General features: G+C 40.4%; 1 protein-coding gene across 8 annotated transcripts in view; it reads left to right on the top strand.

The window, feature by feature from the left end:
* The window catches only part of TPTE2 (transmembrane phosphoinositide 3-phosphatase and tensin homolog 2), a 138,698-nt gene extending 119,749 nt beyond the window's left edge, over positions 1–18,949 (top strand). For 5 of the 8 annotated variants that reach the window (NR_073487.2, NM_001395978.1, NM_130785.4 and 2 more), the window contains 7 exons: positions 3,673–3,734; positions 5,520–5,600; positions 9,248–9,353; positions 11,279–11,358; positions 15,309–15,401; positions 16,809–16,879; positions 18,662–18,949. Coding sequence is in view for 5 of the 8 variants with exons in the window: in NM_001395978.1 (NP_001382907.1) it covers positions 3,673–3,734; positions 5,520–5,600; positions 9,248–9,353; positions 11,279–11,358; positions 15,309–15,401; positions 16,809–16,879; positions 18,662–18,764 (596 nt within the window). In the remaining 3 variants the exon portion in view is untranslated. Of the gene's footprint in view, positions 1–3,350; positions 3,735–5,519; positions 5,601–9,247; positions 9,354–11,278; positions 11,359–15,308; positions 15,402–15,992; positions 16,120–16,808; positions 16,880–18,661 lie in introns of those variants that run through there. The other 3 variants (NR_073485.2, NR_073486.1, NM_001271850.2) reach the window with 3 other exon arrangements.
* The last annotated feature ends 1,750 nt before the right edge of the window (positions 18,950–20,699 follow it).

Here is a 20,699-nt window from a genome sequence, read left to right as displayed (position 1 = left end):
ACTACACTGACTTTCTACACTGGTTAGGCTCTGCAGTATACTGTTAAATGGAAACAGTGAAGAGAGGGCATTTTTGTTTAATTCCAGGCTTTAAAGAAAATGCTGTCAATATTATGTCATTAATATGATGTTCCTGGTAGGTATTTTGGTGGATTCTCTTTGTTGAGTTAAGGAAGTTTCCTAGTTGTTGTTAATTTTTAAAGTCACAGGTGCAGGCTGAATGTTAGTGAATGCTTTTTCCTGCATTAATTGAGATAATTGTAAGGTATGACTTCTTTAATCAATGAATATGATAAATTGCATTATTATAGATTTCTGATAAAGGATGATTCTTGTATTTTTTATTATTTGTTTTTTAATGGGCAAAATACTTTTTTTTCTTTTTGAGCTTAGATTTTTGGTATAAATTAACTTTTAGATTTGGAAGTACATATGCAGGTTTATTGGTAATATTGTGTGATGCTGAGGTTTGGGGTGTGAGTGATCGCATCACCCAGGTACTGAGCACAGGACCCAATAGTTAGTTTTTCAACCTGTGCCCTTTTCTGCTGTGCCCCGTCTAGAACTCCCCAGGGTCCATTATTGCCACCTTGATATCCATGAGCACCCATTGTTTAGCTTTCACTTATGAGTGAGAACATACGGTATTTGGTTTTTTGTTCCTGTATTAATTTGCTCAGGATAATGACTTCCAGCTGCATCCGTGATGCTGCAAAGGAAATTATTTTTTTTTTTTTTGAGAGGGAGTTTTGCTCTTGTTGCCCAGGCTGGAGTGCAATGGCGCAGTCTTGGCTCACTGCAACCTCCACCCCCCAGGTTCAAGTGATTCTCCTGGCTCAGCCTCCCAAGTAGCTGGGATTACAAGTGCCTGCCACCACGCCCAGCTAATTTTTGTATTTTTAGTAGAGATAGGGTTTCACCAAGTTGGCCAGGCTGCTCTCGAACTCCTGACCTCGGGTGATCCACCCACCCCAGCCTCCCAAAGTGCTGGGATTACAGGCATGAGCCACCGTGCCCAGCCTGTTTTTTGTTTGTTTGTTTGTTTGCTTGTTTGTTTTTGAGATGGAGTCTTGCTGTCACCCAGGCTGGAATGCAGTGGTGCAATCTCAGTCACTGCAACCTCCGACTCCTGGGTTCAAGCGATTCTCCTGCCTCAGCCTTCTGAGTCACTGGGATTACAGGTGTGCACCACCATGCCTGGCTAATTTTTGTATTTTTAGTAAAGACGGAGTTTCACTATGTTGGCCAGGCTGGTCTTGAACTCCTGACCTCAAGTGATCTGCCTGCCTTGGCCTCCCAAAGTGCTGGGATTACAGATGTGAGCCACTGCATCCGGCCCATGGCTCTATTTTGAAGTATGTTCCTTTGATTCCTAGTTTCTTGAGTGTTTTTTTTTTATCAAGAAAGATGTTGAATTTTATCAAAAGCTTTTTTTTCTGCATCTATTGAGATGATCATGTGGTTTCTGTTTAATTCTGTTTGTGTGGTGAATCACATTTATTGGTTTGCATATGCTGAACCTTGTATCCTTGGAATGAAGCTTACTTGATGGTGAACTTTTTGATGTGCTGTTGGATTTGGCTGTTATCCTGATGGGGCTACCTTTGTGTGTGATCTGGCCTTTTTCTGCAGTGCCTTTAGGGCTTTTTCTTTGACAGTGACCTTGGACAGTCTGGTGAGTATATGCCTTGGTAATGCTCATTTTTTATAGTATCTCACAGGTGCTGTCTGGCTTTACTGTACTTAGATGTCTATCTAGCAAGATTCAAGAAATTTTCTCGAATTATTCCATCAAATATGTTTTCCAGGCTGTTTTCTTTTTCTCTTTCTCTCTAGGGCATGCCAGTAATTCGTAGGTTTGGTCACTTTACATAATCTCATATTTCTGACTTTCTTCACTTTTAAAAAATCTTTTTTCTTTATTTTTGTCTGACTGGATTAGTTCAAAAGACCAGTCTTCAAGCTCTGAAATTATGTTTTCTACTTTGTCCAGTCTATTGATAAAGTTTTCAGTTGTATTTTGAAATTCCTTAAGTGAATTTTTTTAGTTCCAGAAGTTCTGATTGATTTCTTATTAAGATGTTTATCTCTTCCTTCATTTCCTGGATTGATGTAGAAGTTTCTTTTTGTTGATTTCAACCTTGAATCTCATTGAGCTTCCTTGCAACCCAAGCTTTGAATTGTTTATTGTCATCTCTGAGTTTTCATTTTGGTAGGAAGCATTGCCAGAGAGCTAGTGTGATCCTTTGGTAGTGTCACTACATTCAGATTTCTCATGGTGCCAGAATTCTTGCATGGGTCCTTCTTATCTGGAGATGCTAGCACTTCTAATTTGTGTAATTATTTTTGTTTGGGTAGGATTTTTCTTTTTCTTTCCTTTCCTATAATATTATTGTTATTTTTTTCTTCTTTCCCTTTCCCTTCTCCCTAGAGGGTGTGACTGTAGAGCATGCTGGGTAGGGTCTTTTGGCTTTGCTTCTGCAGCCCTATGCACTTCTGCCAGCAGGTTTTATATTGGGTGTGTGGTTTGACCTATGAGCCAGTAGATGGCGCCATGGGTAAGAGCTGGCTGTTGCCAGTGCCGCTGGCTGTGTACTTGATCCTTGTTTATTGGGAGGAGCTCTCTGCTGCCCCAGGCAAAGGGCTGATTTCCTGAGTACACATTAATCTGAGCTCCCTCAGCCCTAGGGGTAGGGGGATTGGGGGCACAAGATGGGTGGAGCCAGATAGGGAAGATTCCCCCAGTGTTGTCCTGCTGCCAGTCCAGGTTTGGGAAAATGCCGGCAGCGTTTCCCTGTGTCTTTCCCCCACAAAGTCTCCAAGTCTCTCCTCAAATGAGCTCCAAGGCTTGGGAGAAACAATCTCTTCCTCTGCCCGGGTTGCGTGGATCTCCAGTGGAAAGGTGAGACAGAGGGATGCTGTCTGCCTCTCTCACACCCTGAGGCTTCACTCACTTTTATCAGTCGAATGCTGTCCTGAGGGCTGCTTGCCTGCATTGTCCTCCCCAGGATCTGGGATGTCCTTCATAATTCCGAGGAATTGCCATTTTCTTTCTTGAATTAAAGCTCACAGAGTTGGTCTTTATGTACTTGCTTGCTATTTCCAAATGACTGAGGCATGCTAAAAGCCTGTAATCTGCCATCTTGGAAAAAACATCCTTGCATCCTTAAGAGAAATGGCACTTGGTGTTGATACATGGTGTTTCTACATTGCTGAATTCACTTTGAAAATATATGTATATTTTTAAATCTACATTTATATGTGAGACTGGTGTAAAAATGTCTTTTCTTCTACTGTATTTGTGCAATTTTGGAATCAGTTATATTAATGTACTAAATGAGGTGGGAATTTTTCTTTTTTACTATTATCCAAAAAAATTATAAAAGACATGAATTGTTGCTTTCTTATAGATTTAGTAAAAACCTCATCGTGTCCTTTTGTGGAGAGATGGTGAGAGATATTTTTACTGTAAATGTAATTTGCGTATTTTTCACCTGTGAGGCGGAGGTTGCAATGAGCCAAGATTGTGCCACTGCACTCCAGCCTGCGTGACACAGCAAGACCCTGTCTCAAAAAAAAGAAAGAAAATCAAGTTAAAATGCACTCCTTGAATATTTCTGAGTGTATTTTTATACCATGTATGTTCTTGAACTAACTTCTTTTCTTTTCTAGGAAGAACCGGGACTATGGTTTGTGCCCTCCTTATTGCCTCCGAAATATTTTTAACTGCCGAGGTATGAAAGATGTTCTACAAACTTTCTCTTATGATGATTGAGTTTGCTAGTTCTGAAAGATCGCTGGTAGGACGTTAAGATGATTATTTGAGTCATGGTGCTTAGTAAAATTGTAATTAGAGAAGCAGTTTTTAGAAAGTCTATTTTTGATACTTTCTTGTTTAACGTGCACTAGTTAGTAGCTGACTGCAGAATCTCTTTGGGCCAGGACTAGAGTGAGGTCAATGAGGTGCAAAATTTAAGGGAATGCTAAAAATTATAATAATTAAAATAAATAATTTTAATGCAATATTTTAATAAAAATTAATGCAAAAAATCTATGATGTATGCAATATCAACATTTTAAATAAAGACAAGACCTGATGGGGCAGGATTAAGGTGAGGGGAGTAAAGTCATGTTACACAGAAAAAAACATTCAGTAATCAACATGCTTCCCTCACTTCACCTGGCCCTGCTCTTATTCCTGCCAGTACCATGACTTCTTCCTTCCTCGTGAGAATAGTATCAAGCTTAATTAGATAAATTCTCCAAAGAGCCTTGCCCATCCTCACAACTCTTAGGTAGATAAAAAGCAACATTTCACAACTGAAAACAAAGCCTCTCCTGAATGTAAATATCTTTGCTTAGTCAATACATGTGGAGTCTGTGACCTCTAGAAATTTCTGATTAGACAAGGTGGGCTGTTTCCACTTAAAGCAGAGTTCTCAGTCATTTTTCTTTCTGCCATTTTCTTGCTGAGATGCTACCATTTCCAGCAGCTCTGCTCGAGTTGTTTGGCCTGCAGTCTAGGGAAGAGGTGGTGGTTGTGCACAATGCCCAGACTCCAATTCCACCACCTTTGGTTTCTCTAATTTGAGATACACAGATTTTGAAAATGGGTGTTCTAGGATGGTGTTTTTCAAGCTGTGGATCATGATTTATCAGTGAGTTTTAAAATAAAGTTACTGGGTTGTAACTGACATCTTTTGAAAATAAAATGGAATAGAGCAGAATAGAAAATATCAAAAGGTTTAAATATTGGTGTATGTGTGTGTGTGTGTGTGTGTGTGTGTCTCCTAGGTTTATTAATGTGGATTGCAGCTTAAAAAACAAAAGGTTTGAAAGTCATTGACAGCCATTGATCCAGAGCCCTAGACTGAGATCCAGGGACCTGTATTCCAGGCCTGTGCTTCTTCTAACTGGCTGCAGCATCTCCTTGGCAGGTTGCTTGGTTTTCTTTTGGTCTCAGTGTTGTCATTTGTAATATGGAAAGAAGGGTTGGACCAGATGCTTTCTATGGTGTTTCCAGCTCTAAAATTTTATGAATGTATGAATCCTTGAATGAGAGAAGTCCTAATTTTGTTATTTTTGGTAGCCTCTGCCCAAAGATCACTGTGGCCGGGCATGGGTGGCTCATGCCTGTAATCCCAGCACTTTGGGAGGCTGAGGCAGGTGGATCTCTTGAGGTCAGGAGTTTGAGAGCAGCCTGGCCAACATGGTGAAACCCCTATCTCTACTAAAAATACAAAAAATTAGCTGGGCATGGTGGTACACACCTGTAGTCCCAGCTACTCAGAAGGCTGAGGCAGTAGAATCACTTGAACCCAGGAGGCAGAGGTTGCAGTGAGCTTAGATCCTGCCACTGTACTCCAGTCTGGGTTGCAGAGCAAGACTCTACCAAAAAAACAAACAAACAAAATCACTGACTTTAGGAAAGAAGGTGGGCATAGAAACACTAAGGGTACCTAATATAGGAAAGGAAAGAGTGCAGATGAACCATGGTTGGATTGTACCCTTTTTTGTAGGAAAGCCTATATTATTTTGGAGAAAGGCGAACCAATAAAACCCACAGCAATAAATTTCAGGGAGTAGAAACTCCTTCTCAGGTAAGTTTTCTTTTTAAAAATGGGAGTTTTTTTAGGGGAGTGGGTTAAGATTGCCACCTGTTATTTGGTTTCATTTTAGACTCTTCTCCTTTGGTGATCAGGCAGCAGCAGTTGGGTGCCCTGCAACAGGCCTTGGTCCCTCCCTGAGTCTGAGGGTCACACTTCAGGTGCTGCCCACATGCTGGGGACTCTGGCTTCTCCTCAGAGAATCCTGCTTTCTATTCTATACTGGTTATTGTTTATGGAGCTCAGGAGTCGATTATTTTCCCAAAGTAGGAAGGTCCAGTACCCAAGGCTCCAGGACCCTGAAGTGTATCTAAAATCACCAGCCTTTGATTTCAATGTAAAAAAGATCCAAGTCTTTCACAAACCCTTACTAGGGCAATTCAACCCTTGCAGAACATCACAAAGACTGTTTTTGGATGACTCCTGGTGTGTGTGTGTGTGTGTGTGTGTGTGTGTGTGTGTGTCTTTTCTGTGTGTTGTGGGGGAGATGTATTTTAAAAGAGAAAATAAAAGGGGAAATAAACTTTTCAAAACCCCTTCTGTATCCCAGACAGTATTGCACTTTTACATATCTCATTTAATACCCATAACACCTATATGAAATATACACTGTTACTCTGTTTTTTCTTTTAGAAGCATTTTGTTATGGAAATTTTTAATCATATACAAAAGTCCAGAGCATCATACAATATATCCTCATGTAGTCATCACATTGCTGCAACAGTCATTTCAGCCGGCGCCAGCCACGTTTCATCCGTTCTTTCCCACTCCACTCACACCCCTCAACCCCACTCTCCACTCTTGCTTTCCCTAAATCTGAGTTATTGTAAAGGAAATTTCAGTCGTCAGATCATTTTATCCCACAGCATTTTAGTATGACATTTAAGTACTCTTAAAACAACAACAAAAAACCTTAACACTTTTTATCATATCTAACAATATTATACCTTAAAAATCCTTCATATCAAATTTGTAGTCCATGTTTGTTTCCAAAATTGTCTTAAAATCTTTGAAAATTTAGTTTGTTTAATCAGAATTCAAACAAAGTCCACACATTTCATTTGGTTTCTGTGTCTCCTAAGTCTCTTTTAAGAATCTAAGTTCATAGATTTCTCACCATTTTTTATTACTTGTAATTTGTTTATTGCAGAAACCAGGATATTTATCCTATAGCGTTTACAACATTCTAGACTTTGCTGAACTATTCTAAGAGTTCTCTATTCACTATCTCATTTAATATTCTCAGTAACTCTATGAGTAGGCACTACTATGATTCTCATCTTATAAATTAGAAAATTGAGGTTCAGAGAAAGTAACTTTTGAACCAAGGACTGAAATCTAGATGTCAGTCTCTGAAGCCCTTGCTGTGCACAGCTTCTCATTTATATTGCCTTTTCTATATTGCCCCTGAAACCGAAGTGAGAGCGGGTTGGGAATTCCGAAATGGATTTGGATGTGGCTGTAAATGAGTTTTTCTTTAAGTGGTGGGAGCTGAGTAAGTACTCTTGGCCCCGTTAGAAGAACACTCTAACTACCGGCCCTAAACCTTTAGTTTGGGCCAGAAGAACTCACCCTTATCCACTGCTACTTTTCTCCCACACCCAAGCCCCAAACAAAACAAAACAAAACAAAACAAAGATAGTCATAGACCCTAAGCTAAAAGTGATAGGTGAATTTACTGAAGTGCAGCCCTAAACATGCCATTTCCATGCTCAAAATCCATACTATGTCCCCACTGCCAATGGCAATAAACTAAACGTTTCAACCTGGCACTCAAGAGCCACACTTTGACTTTTCCAACCTTCTCTTCCACTATGTGCATGCACACATCCCATACTCCAACACATTTAGACTGTGCGCTCTTTCCCAGCCTATGGACACTTGATACCCTCATGCCATTGCTCATGCCCCTTTTCCTAGAGTCCCTTTCCCTTCTCAGCCTGAAGTAGTCTCTTGCTTTTTTAATTCTTAGAGCCCTTTGTGTTTCTTTTAGGGACTACGTCACTTTGCATCATTCTCTAGTTATTTGAAGTGGTGACTTCTGTATCCCCTTTAAAGGCAAAGCCCGTGGCTTACCCATCTTTCCACCCTTTTCTCATAATATTTTCTTTGTTTGTAGTGAGTGCCTCCTATGTGTTGGTTGTATTAATTTCTACTACAAGTCCATGTTGTTTTAAGTTGTAGGAGAAGGAAGCGTGGGAGCACAAGTAGCTTGAGGGCCCTGGTGGTTTACAGCCCTTAGGGAAAGGTGGAGAATCTAGTGGCAGAAACTAAGGGGATGCTAGATGGAGCTCCTTCAACAACTGTCCCCACACATCTCCCCATCCCCATTTCTTCTGCAGTCATGCATAGTTTCCCTAACTTTAGTCCAGAACCAGCACACCAAAGGCTGCAACTGAATCTCTTCTGATTCACCGAAAAAGCAACACAGGGACTCAGCTGCATGTTTGAGAGCTGTGTTGGCAAGACCTCAGGACAGAGTGCCCTCTATGTCTGGTGGTGATTCTCAGACACCATCACATTCTGATCCTGCATTGTGGGCCATTCTACTGACTACATCTACTCCTAAGTTAAGGACTTTCATGAACCTGTCTCATGACTGGCCCTTTCTAAAGGGAAGTATGGCAGTTAGTTACTTTAATGAACATTTCCCAATGGGTAAGGAACAGTCTGTGAACTTATGAGTTTTGCTTTGTTTTGTTTTGTTTTTAATTTTTGAGACAGAGTCTCGCTCTGTCACCCAGACTAGAGTGCAGTGGTGCAATCTCAGCTCACTGCAACCTCGACCTCTTGGGTTCAAGCGATTCTCCTGCCTCAGCCTCCCGAGTGCTGGGATTATAGGTGCCCATCACTACGCATGGCCTATTTTTGTACTTTTAGTAGAGACAGGGTTTCACCCTGTTGGCGAGGCTGGTCTCAAACTCCTGACGCCCAGTGATCTGCCCACCTCGGCCTCCCAAAGTGCTGGGATTACAGGCGGGAGCCACCATGATGGCCAACTTTTGAATTCTGAACCAGTTGATTGAGTACCAGAGCTCTTCAATACCTTGAAGAAAGATTCAGGGGAGAGCCGTTGTGAACAGCTTGCCCCAGGGAAAGGACAAGGCTGAGAGAATTCCAGGGCCTCCTTGAGAAAACAGAATTGAGGAAATGCAAAGTGAAGAAATTCTAGCTGTCAGGAACAAGAGAAGAGTGACGGGAAACCTGCTACTGAGGTTTGGAGGTATTCCTCTGGAGTTTTCACTTATACCATTCTCTCATGTCCAGGAAGCTGCTCTTCACCAAACCACAAGCCTTCCTCTAACTCAGTCACAACTAAGCTTCTGTCTGGACACTGATGATGCTGTAACTGTTTTGTTGTGCTTCTGATTAGTTGCCCTCTCAACCATAAGCAGCCTATAAACAGGGCCTGGCTCCATCCTTGTTACTTCCCCATTGCACTGAATTCAGTATTTTTCCCTCAAGGTAGATAGTTGTGGGGCAGCATCCCTAAAAATGTCCAGTTATATAATGGCATCCAGTAAATGTTTTCTTAATTACTTACCTCCATTAACAAGCTTTATGCAAAAAAAAAAAAAAAAAGGAATGCTGACTTTAGACTTTTCATCTCCACTTAAAGGAAGATTTCTGTTGCTTTTCAGAATAGATATGTTGGATATTTTGCACAAGTGAAACATCTCTACAACTGGAATCTCCCTCCAAGACGGATACTCTTTATAAAAAGATTCATTATTTATTCGATTCGTGGTAAGTGCTTTATGTGTAATTGAAGAATTGGGCAGGAGGGCCAATGTCCCCACTCTGGGAGGGTTTTGCTCATAGTCGTATATACAGATGATCCTAACTCATACCTGTCTTTTTACATATCCTCACACAGGAACTCCTCCTTATTTATGCCGCTCCTCCTGCAATTGCCCATTGATTGCCAGCCCTGAGATGTTCTTCACTTTTTCTTTTCCATCACCAATTTGGGGGACTTCATCCCCTACCCATCTCTCCTGTTCTCATTGCTCCTCCGGTCTCAACCCAGGTGGACTTTTCCGGGCAGAGGGAGCCTCTGATGAGGGAGGAGGAGGACCCATGTGCCCTCAAGCCTGCTTATTTCTCAGAACCACCTCTAGTTCAGAGTTTGCCTTGGTGGAGGTGTCTCCGTATCGTATCATTTTCTCACCTTCTTTTAGAGGCATATTTTTTTCTCATCACCCTGGGCTCTCCCTTTCCCCTCTCTCCTCCATCTGTAACCCTCTCACTCCCAGCTTACACTCAGGGGAGGCGGGAAAGCAGGATGTGTCTGTGTGGAAGGAATGGGGCCTCACCACTCCCACTGCCAGAGAGGTAGCAGGGAGGCGATGCTTCGGAACCCCTAAAGCAAACCTCTTCTAGCAGCCAGCTTGTGGACCTGAGATGGTGCCAGTGCTGGGTGCTATAGGTGCCATGGGGCCAGGATGCTGGTGTCCACACAGACAGCCTAGTATTTTTAGCCTTCTGAGTTTAGTTCTACATTTCACTGATTTCTGGTAGACATCAATAGAAGGAAGTTCTGCACCTGGAATGGGAAAGAGGGAACTGAGGCAAGAAACTGTGATTTCTAATGACAAATGAATATCATGGTGTTAGTGAAAACAAAATTAAATGAAAACAAACAGCATATGAGATGAACAATCAAAGATAATTAATACACTAGTTTATTAAAATATTTGTTTTAATTCTCTACTTAGTTTTGTGAATATTTAAATTAAAATTAATGTAGAATTGAGAGGAAAGCAATAAAAAATTAATTGGCTGAGAAACCAAGTCTTTGAGGAAACGCTAAGGGAAGTGGGTCATTTGAATTGAAAAAAAGGAACAGAAGAGCCTTTGTCTGTAAATATATACTGAACACCACAGGAATTTTTGGATATAACTATCCTATATTTTTATAGAGATTGCATCAGGAACTGGCCTTAAAGTAGGGCCAAAGTAGTTAAATGACAGTATTTATTATTAAGAATCATTATGATTAGAAGTCTGAAGAAAGCAACATATTAGCAAGAAAGGTTGCAAGTCACCTTTCCTGAATTTTTTTTCTTTTTCTTTTTCTTTTTTTTTTTTTGGAGACAGAGTCATGTTCTGTCACCCAGGCTGGAGTGCAGTGGTGTGATCTCAGCTCACTGCAGCCTCTGCCTCCCGGGTTCAAGCAATTCTCCTGTCTCAGCCTCCCAAGTAGCTAGGATTACAGGCATGTGCCACCACGCCTGGCTAATTTTTGTATTTTTAGTAGAGATGGGGTTTCACCATCTTGGCCACGCTGGTTTAGAACTCCTGACCTCAAGTAATCCACCCACCTCGCCCTCCCAAAGTGCTAGGATTACAGGTGTGAGCCACCATGCCCGGCCTAGCTTCCCTAAATATTTTTTCTGGAAAGATAAAGTGATGGGATTCTAAGTCTTGGAAGCTGAACTATATGTATTCTTTTCTCTTCTCTCATCTTATAAAATCTGCTTTAGGAGACAGAAATGGGCTTGAAGCCTTGTCTTTCAAAGACAAAATCCATGCAAGACCAAATAAGTAACTATTGATACGTTGTTAGCTTGGATAATTTTTTCTCTTTTTAATCCATGATGTTAAGTGGTGAGACATATTGATCTTCATGCTAACCAACCTAACTTTTTAATTTCATTTTGTTGGAACAGGTGATGTATGTGATCTAAAAGTCCAAGTAGTAATGGAGAAAAAGGTTGTCTTTTCCAGTACTTCATTAGGAAATTGTTCGGTAAGAGAAAACATGTGAATTGAAAAAATCTGATGTTTGTTTTAAGGCTGAATGTCAAACCAGCAATGTTCACCTCCATAAACTATCACTCACCATAAAGAGATTCCATAACGCTTTCTGGTTACCATACAACTTGGTGTCACTGGGTTTGGATGCAAACCAGAGATAAATTAACCTGTTTGTTCAAAACAGTTTTTTCAGGGTGCTTTCCAGAATGTATTTCTGGTCAGTGTTGCTTTGCCTTTCACACTTCCACAAATGCTGAGCATGTTCCCAGGAATGTATTAAGGATTTTAATTTACATATCTGGTCATTTTTAGCCATATTCTCTTCTTCTCAGTCATTTGATCTTTTATTATATAGCACTGATTCTAAAAGTTTAGTGTGCATGAAAACCACTGAGGAGCTTGTAAAGATTTACATTCCTAGGTTGTACCCCCAAAGTATGATTCGGGAAATCTGGAATGGGGCCCAGGAATCTATAGACTTAGCAATGTCCCAAGTGATTCTAAGTCAGACGTTCTGTGGGATGACCCTGTGAGAAACAACGCAAGGGTGAATGAACTGGGGAGGAACCTCTTTATCCAAAGCAAAAGGGACCTGGTAGTCAATGTTTTGCTACAATGAAGAAATGCCTAAAACTATATACCTTTTCTGAAACAGTAAGAAAGCATCCTTCATGGTCTAATAACCCTAAATTTTAGAATTCCTACCCAGGCCTTTGTCTCAAATTCTCCTATTACTAACCCTGTTCCCTGCCACCCCCTCCCGACTCTGCCCCCGGCTTTTTTGGCCTCTCCCAACTGAGGGCATTCACCCAGGCCTGACCCTTGGCTTTCTGTTCTTAGCAAATGCTTTATTCTTAAAGAATGACCCATTCCCCTTACTTCAACTATTATTTGTTCATTTACTGAACAGCTATTTATGAGCACCCACTGAGTGGTAGATGCAGGAGCTACAACATGAACAGTTTCCACTCCAACTCAAATGCATTCGCCAGTCTCAGTTATCAAGGAGCTTTCTCTCTGCCTCTGCAAATGGCACCAGCATTCTTCCACTCACGCCTTGGGCTTTGATTCTCTTTGCCTCAGCCCCCTAAATCCAGTTAGTCATCCATCTCTGTTGATTATGCCTTTGACAGTTTTCTATGTTCTCCTTCCTTTCTGTTCTCACTGCCACTAATTGTCCAGAATCTCCTTTGCTCAGCGTAGATTTCTGCAGTGGTCTCCTTACCCTTTCTTTCTCCTTCTATAATGCAATGTATAGAATCCTGAACTATGCATCCTGAAATATTCCTCTCATTGTGAAAAATTGTAGGTAGAGCAGAAGACACACTGTGTGCCCATGGTCAGAGCCAGTTAACACCTTTGTCTCAACATCTTTATCTGTAAAATAAATAACACATCCAAGTGTAATGGGAATTCAATTAGATAATATATATGAAGTTTCTTTGTGAACTATAAATCACTAAATAAGTGTTATATGTGATAATTATCAGGCCTCTTTGTCACATAGGAAATGCCCCACCATATTTTTCAACAACTTCTCTCTTATTTCCTTGGCTCGAGCTCTGAAGATGTAATAGCCCTAACATAATACCTGAGCTTTTTTCCATCAGTAGCTTGACCAGCAGACTTCATTCCAAATAAACTGGGTCATCCCTTTTGGCTCTTGGAACACAACTCTAATTTAGTTAGTTAGTTAGTTGGTTATTTCTTCCTTTCCTTTTTTTTTTTCCTGAGCCAGGGTCTCATTCTGTCACCCAGGCTGTAGTGCAGTGGCATGATCATGGCTCACTGTAGCCTCAACCTCCTGAGCTCAAGCAATCCCCTAATTTTTTTTATTTTTTGTAGAGCCTGGGACTTGCTATGTTGCCCAGGCTGGTCTCAGACTCCTGGGCTCAAGCAGCCTGTCCACCTCAGCCTTGCAACATGCTGGGATTATAAACATGAACCACACTGCCCGACATTGTTTGTTGTTGTTTTTCCAAGTTTTTTCTTTTTCTTTTCTTTTTTTTCTGAGATGGAGTTTTGCTCTTGTTACTCAGGCTGGAGTGCACTGTCACAATCTCAGCTCACCACAACCTCTGCCTCCTGGGTTCAAGCGATTCTCCTGCCTCCGCCTCCCAAGTAGCTGGGATTACAGGCATGTGCTACCACACCTGGCTAATTTTGTATTATTAGTAGAGACGGGGTTTCTCCATGTTGGTCAGGCTGGTCTCAAACTCCCGACCTCAGGTGATCTGCCCACCTCAACCTCCCAAAGTGCTGGGATTACAGGCTTGAGCCACCGCACCTGGCCCATTTTTCTAATTTCTACTTTGTGTTATTGCTCGTCTTTTTCTCTCCGTTTGGACTAAATTCTTTTTTCAGAGCTCTTCTTCCTTTATCTAAACTGCTTCATGCCCAATTCAATTTCTACCTCCTTAATGAAATTTTTGCATTCTGCACCTTCTGTTAACTAGCCCCCAGTAGTACATAACAGCACACCCAGTCTTTGTCATACAGATTGAGTTATGTACCATTCTACTATTGTTTCTTAAATGTACAGCTCCCTGAAGGGGCCAACTGAGTCTGCACCTCCTTTTGTGTTTTTCACAGGGCCTAGCATAGACCTTTCTTATTGTGGGTGCCATTATTTCTATGAGAATGAGTCAAAGAACTAGTACGGCTTCAAAGTCATTCATTCCAAAACTTGAGCTATCTTTGGTCACTCCATCCTGCAGCCTGCACTGGTCAAGTTCAAAGATCCCATTGACAAACACAAGAGTTCTGATAAAACATGATGAGCAGGGGGACCCCACTCTCCCCCTCCCTTGGGAGGAGCATGCAGGCCCAACCCCCAAGTGTTACAGACCCCTGTTGTTATTTTTTAAATTTAGAAAATAAAAAACCATGATAAGTTATGCATTGCTTTTTGAATGTCAATGCTAGCTTTAAAATTGAGCTTCTTAATGTATTCTCAAAAAAGGCCCTAACACATGAAAATCAAATGAGACACATTAAATAATAATATTTAATTGATTAAAGTCTAATGGAAAATTCAATACTTTTTAAAAGTGCAGCACTTTTGAAAAGTGCCTCACGGCCGGGCACGGTGGCTCATGCCTGTAATCCCAGCACTTCGGGAGGCCAGGGTGGGTGGATCATGAGGTCAAGAGATCGAGACCATTCTGGCCAACATGGTGAAACCCCGTCTCCACTAAAAATACAAAAATTAGCTGGGCATGGTGGCACGTGCCTGTAGTCCCAGCTACTTGGGAGGCTGAGGCTGGAGAATCAGCTGAACCTGGGAGGCAGAAGTTGGCAGTGAGCCGAGATCATGCCACTGTACTCCAGCCTGGTGACAGAGTGAGACTCTGTCTCAAAAAAAAAAAAAAAAAAAAAAAGAAAAGAAAAGAAAAAAAAAGAAAAGTGGTTCATGATAACCCTAAACATGTTGGCCTTTAAAAGACATAAACAACAGGCCGGGTGCAGTGGCTCATGCCTGTAATCCAGCACTTTGGGAGGCCCAGGCGGGCAGATCACTTGAAGCCAGGAGTTTGAGACCAGCCTGGCTAATACAGTGAAACCCCATCTCTACTAAAAATTCAAAAATTAGCTGGGTGTGATGGCTTGTGCCTATAGTCCCAGCTACTTGGGAGGCTGAGGCACAAGAATCACTTGAACCTGGGAGGCAGAGGTTGCCATGAGCCGAGATCACGCCACTGCACTCCAGCCTGGGTGACAGTGAGACTCTGTCTCAAAAAACAAAAAACAAATGAAAACACACACACACATAAACAACAGTATTGCAACTAGAAAAGATTATTAATAATTATTTATGCATGTAGTGATTGGGCTGTGAGAGCAAAAGTACTTGATAAATACAGGAAGTCATGATAAGTGAAAAGGAACTTTTGTTATCGTTATCTAGGTTTGTAGTTCTCAATTCCATGTGTTCATTCATAGATATTGCATGACATTGAAACAGACAAAATATTAATTAATGTATATGACGGTCCACCTCTGTATGATGATGTGAAAGTGCAGTTTTTCTCTTCGGTGAGTAATCACAAAATAGCCTCTGCCATTGTTCTTGTCTGGTCTAATGATTTTATTTCAGATTTGCTTTACTACAATTCCCAACAAGGGAGGGGGAGGGGGAGGAAAACAATAAATCAGATCTATAACAAATTTTTTTAAAAGAGCGTATGTAATTTAAATAATTTGTGTTCATTTGTTTTTTTCTAAATTGTAAATTTTCTAAATTTTTCTAAATTTACCTGTATTCTCAAATACAAAAAATACAAAATAAACACAAAAAAAGTAAAAGCCAAGATGCTAAAAAAAAAAAAACCCAAAGGTACGTTTTACTGCATAGCAATGATTACATTTTGTTTTGCATCTTTTTTAAAAAATTAAGAAGTTGAGACAGGGTCTCACTCTGTCACCCAGGCTGGAGTGCAGTGGCGTGATCATAGCTAACTGTAGCTTCACCCTCCTGGGCTCAAGCAATCCTCCCACCTCAGCCTCCCGAGTAGCTGGGAGCACTGACTAGAAAGAGTTAGGTTTGGGTGACTCAGTTGGGTGAAACAGAGAAGGCAGCACAATACAACACACGAAATAACCAAAGCAGTTTTTTATTAATTCCAGAGAGAAGAGGGCAGCACACAGGGCCAACTGGAAGGGGGAGCCATCCAGGAGACCTGTGCTCGACTGATGGGTGGGAGCAATAGCGAGAGAGAGGGAGGGACCTGAGAGTGGAAGCCTTTATTGGGATGTAAGGTGCTACCTGAGCAGGTTTCCTGAGGGGAAGTCTAATTTGGTTTAACGCAAGCAGCCATGAGTCTCTGCTGTGACTGAGAGGTGGTCACTGATATATCCACATGGTCCCTGCGGAGTATGGGGGTCTGTGGGATGAGTCAAGTAGGTTATATCTAGCTGTCCCATAGTGAAGTGGTCATCAGGAGAAGGTTGTATAAGGCAGATATCAGGATCAGTCACATGGAGAAACTGGGAGGAGGTGAACTGGAAACTGCTGAGGGTGACTGAACCCCGCTTCTGAGATCAGAAAATACAATTTATAATTAAAAGGGATGCTGAGGCAACAAAAAAATTATAAGAATTCACTACAATGTAGTTGGGTATATATAGGCATAGGTCCTTAGTAGCATCTGTTTGGCACTATCTAAACCAGATTCAAATAGCAGCATTTAAATTAAAGACCTATCATGGGAAAAACACTATTCCTTGAAAATTTTGATAGAAACAGCAAGAGAATGCAATAGCATTTTCTTAAAGCCTCCTCCTTTGTGTCTTGAGTGTATTGTTATAGATTGCAGAGTGCTACCTATTTAATGGTTATAATTGTTTGATAAATATATAAAGGAATAAAGAAAGGAACTTTAATTTCTTTGGAATGATTAGTTCCTGGTGTCAGTTTTACTTTGAAATTTTTTTTCTTTTTAGAATCTTCCTAAATACTATGACAATTGTCCATTTTTCTTCTGGTTCAACACGTCTTTTATTCAAAATAACAGGTATGAATATAATAGAAACCCATAGAAACAGCCTAATCTTCAATGTCTATAAATAAGGTGTAATGGCAAGTCTTTTGCTGGTTGTCATAAACTTAATTTATAGAAAGCAAAAAATCCCTGAGCCACCATTTTTCCTTGCCTTACTCCTCTTACTTTGGTTATTTTAAAAATACATTTGTTCTTGAGACCCACTGTTGCAGTATCCTCAGGGTCCATGCCATAGGACTGTGTTATGAGTTCAAAAGTATTATCATCAGATCTTAAGTTTGGTAGTAAATTCCTCCCAGAGAAGTTCAATATGAGTCTGCTCAGCACCTTCAGTATGTCAGGTCCCTGTCAGTAGGTGCTGATTTACCAATGACGAACCACCATCAACTTTTGTGCTAAAGTAAGGCAGGACCTAGGGAGGCTTCAGCTAGCTGAAAAGCTGACGGACACACTTATATCTGGGAGAAGTTACAAGACACAGTATTAAGGAATACAGCTAAGAAATATCATTAAGTAATAGTCTATTTAAATAGCCATTCAAATGTGGCTTTCTAATAACTGAATTGGGAAAACTTTCTGAAAAATTACTAATTGGGTTTGGAGATTATTGTTCCAAAAAAACCTGCCATATTTGGAACCACATTTCTCAGTCTAGAAGTTCTCCACTATAAGTAGCATTTGTTTTGTGATGGTGAAAAATTGAGATTTTTTTTTGTATCAACCATACTCTTCAATACAAAAGGACAAAATATTTTTTAAATGATTTAGGTCAGAGTTGAAGAAGTGGCTATGATTATATGTGGCATGAATTGATAGTTATTGTTACATCCAGTCCTAATCTTTTCTTCAAACGTGAACTGGATCGAATAACTCCTTAAGTCCAGCAAGGCAACAGGAAATTAAACCTCTGGTCTACACACTTGCAATGCAAAACATTTAATGGATTTTGATAGAGTCAACTTTGGATTTGATGGAAATTTTTTACAAGTATTTTTTTTAGATGCATACAAACAATAAGCTTTTTCTTCTAACATGAGCAAAGTCCCTCAAAAAGTGAGACCTGGGTGGAGCTTCATTTGATGCTGCTCCTCAAAAGTGGTTCTTGCTAAAGGATACCGTTTTTTTCCTTTAAAACACTGCGTTCATTTTGGAGAAGTGATAAGCTAGATCACTTTTATTCTTACTTTTATATAAATTTCTAAAGATTTCTGTAACATTTAAATTTACATACTACTTGGTAAAGCTGTTTTTGTTAGTTATGAGATTGTTGTTTAGCCAAAAATGCTAACTTCTATCATTTAGAACACCAGGCATAAATGGGTTAACCAATTTATGCCTAGTGTTCCATTATTGGAACGCTAAGCATATGGGAGTTATAGCCTACTGCTCAAGGTCATTTCCAAGGTCTGATTGTAAAAATTCAAAAAATTGCAACTTCACACATAAATTAAAAGAGATATAGTATTTTATTCCTGGGTTTTCATTCATGTCTATCCTGACTGATTTCTGTCACAGAGAGAAATTTAGATATTTTATTAAACTTGGATGTCATTAATTCCATATAAAGCAATGCTAAGAGAGTCAGCATGTGTTACTGATGTGTTGCTGAAGATTAAAGTATTTTTAAGTCTCACTAAAAAGGTGGAAGGAGCCAACTGAAATGCAAAAAAGGGTCTGGGGTTCTATTCATGGTGAGGTTTTTTTTTGTTTCTTCCAGCTCTAACGTGGGTACCCAACTGCGTGGCTTTTTGGTGAGCCCCAATATAAAATGTAATTTTTTTTTTCTATTCTTAGGCTTTGTCTACCAAGAAATGAATTGGATAATCCACATAAACAAAAAGCATGGAAAATTTATCCACCAGAATTTGCTGTGGAGATACTTTTTGGCGAGAAATGACTTCCAATGATGTTGTAGCTGGATCCGACTAAGTATAGCTCCCCCTTCCCCTTCTGGGAAAGAATTATGTTCTTTCCAACCCCTGCCACATGTTCATGTGTCCTAAGTCTTCCTTGATGATGCATCTATATTTATATATGTTTATATATGTTCTTCATAAATCTATTAAATATATATAGATAAAATGTCAGTGTTTTTCTTCTTTTTTGAAGGCACATACTTCACACACTTTCCATCTTGTATTTACATAAATTTGGAACACAGTATGCAGGAACATCAGGCATCATTTTGAAGAACTTTGAAATAGAACTTTCATGGCAAAAACTTGAGATATTTAAAAATTGTGATTCCCCAACACCCACTTACTTACATATTTTTGGTCAAGTATTTATTCCCTGCTTTGGTTCACATTTGTAATTTCAGATTTATTAGAAAGCTAATTTATATATTTTTCTTCCCCTTCATTTACAAACAGTCTGTTAACAGATTGGCAACCAAGACTAAGTTTTAAATCCAGAAGAGAGAAATGTTTCACATAAGCAGTTCCCCAACTCCCAACACACACTCTCTTTCATTCCGAGCATTAAATAGGTAGCTTACTTGACAAGCTTCCTTTAATTACACACAGACATGGGGGTTGGGGTAAGAAGACTGTGGTAAATATGAAGATAAGTAATCTTTGGTAACTTCTGCTTTTGTATAAAATTGTAAGTGAAGTCAAATATTCTTAATCTAGGTGTATTATTTTGAAATTCACTACTCCTGCTCACAACCAACTTCACCTAAGCTTGGGGGGACTCTGAAGGGAGGTTATCTTTGCGTTATAAACACTGGTTAGCCTTATGTCTACAGAAAATCATTATTATTTCCTCTTTGGTGCTGGGTGCTACTTTTTTTTTTAACAAATTTTTTATTTGTATTTTTTATTTTTTGAGACAGCATCTCACTCTGGTTGTCGAGACTGGAGTGCAGTGGTGTGATCTTGGTTCACTGCAGCCTCAACCTCCCAGGCTCAGGTGATTCTCCCACCTCAGCCTCCCGAGTAGCTGGGACTATAGGCGCATGCCAGCACACCCAGCTAATTTTTTTGTATTTTCAGTAGAGACGAGGTTTTGCTGTTGTTGCCCAGGCTGAGCTCAAATTCCTGAACTCAAGCAATCTGCCTGCCTCAGTCTCCCAAAGTGCTGGTATTAAGGCATGAGCCACCATGCCCAGTCCGTGGGTGTTACTTTATTCAAAATACCTTTATTGCCACTGTATCTTCAGGCCATGATTGTCCTTGAAAACCTTCTATCTTGGCTTTATTGAAATTATTCTTATTTGAATGATTTTCCTTTTATTGGCAAGGCCCTCAACAATCTAGACCAAGATGAAAGATAACAACTAATAAGAAAAGTGTCACTGCTAAAACACGATATACTCATTCCTGAAAAACCTGGCACTCTACAGAAAGGACTAAAAAAAGAAGCAGTTCATGAAAATACAGGGTTTGAGAGTCCAGGGCAAACCTGTCTGGCATAGCAACTTTCTAACCAACACACTAACCGCTGGGACCACTCACATCAGCAGCTCAATGTCGGGAGTTTGCCAGAGAGCTTTTTAATTTTTGAGTGGAAATAGAAAAATACTTGCTATAATGGCTGTGGGTACCAGAGTGGCACAGATGAGAGTAGAGCCCTGAGCCATGGTGGGCACGGAAGGCAGCAACCTGCCAGGAGCCAAGAGCCCCACTAGGCTGGTGAGCCACCTCGCTGCAGGTGATTTTTTCTCCTCTAAATATTCCAAAAACGTTCCGACTGCCCATGCAGCAGCCCAGCTAAGGCCTTTTTCCTTTACTCCCCCTGACCTGGCTCCCCCTTTGAGGAAAAGATCATAGAACATGCTTTCAAATTCCTTTCATGTTAATATTACGCCCTGCCATTCATATGACAGAAA

Source organism: Homo sapiens, chromosome 13 (genome assembly GCF_000001405.40).
Source record: "Homo sapiens chromosome 13, GRCh38.p14 Primary Assembly".
Taxonomy (NCBI): Eukaryota; Metazoa; Chordata; class Mammalia; order Primates; family Hominidae; genus Homo; species Homo sapiens.
The sequence above is the reverse complement of the archived record's forward strand: the minus strand, read 5'-3'. Positions and strand labels throughout refer to the sequence as shown.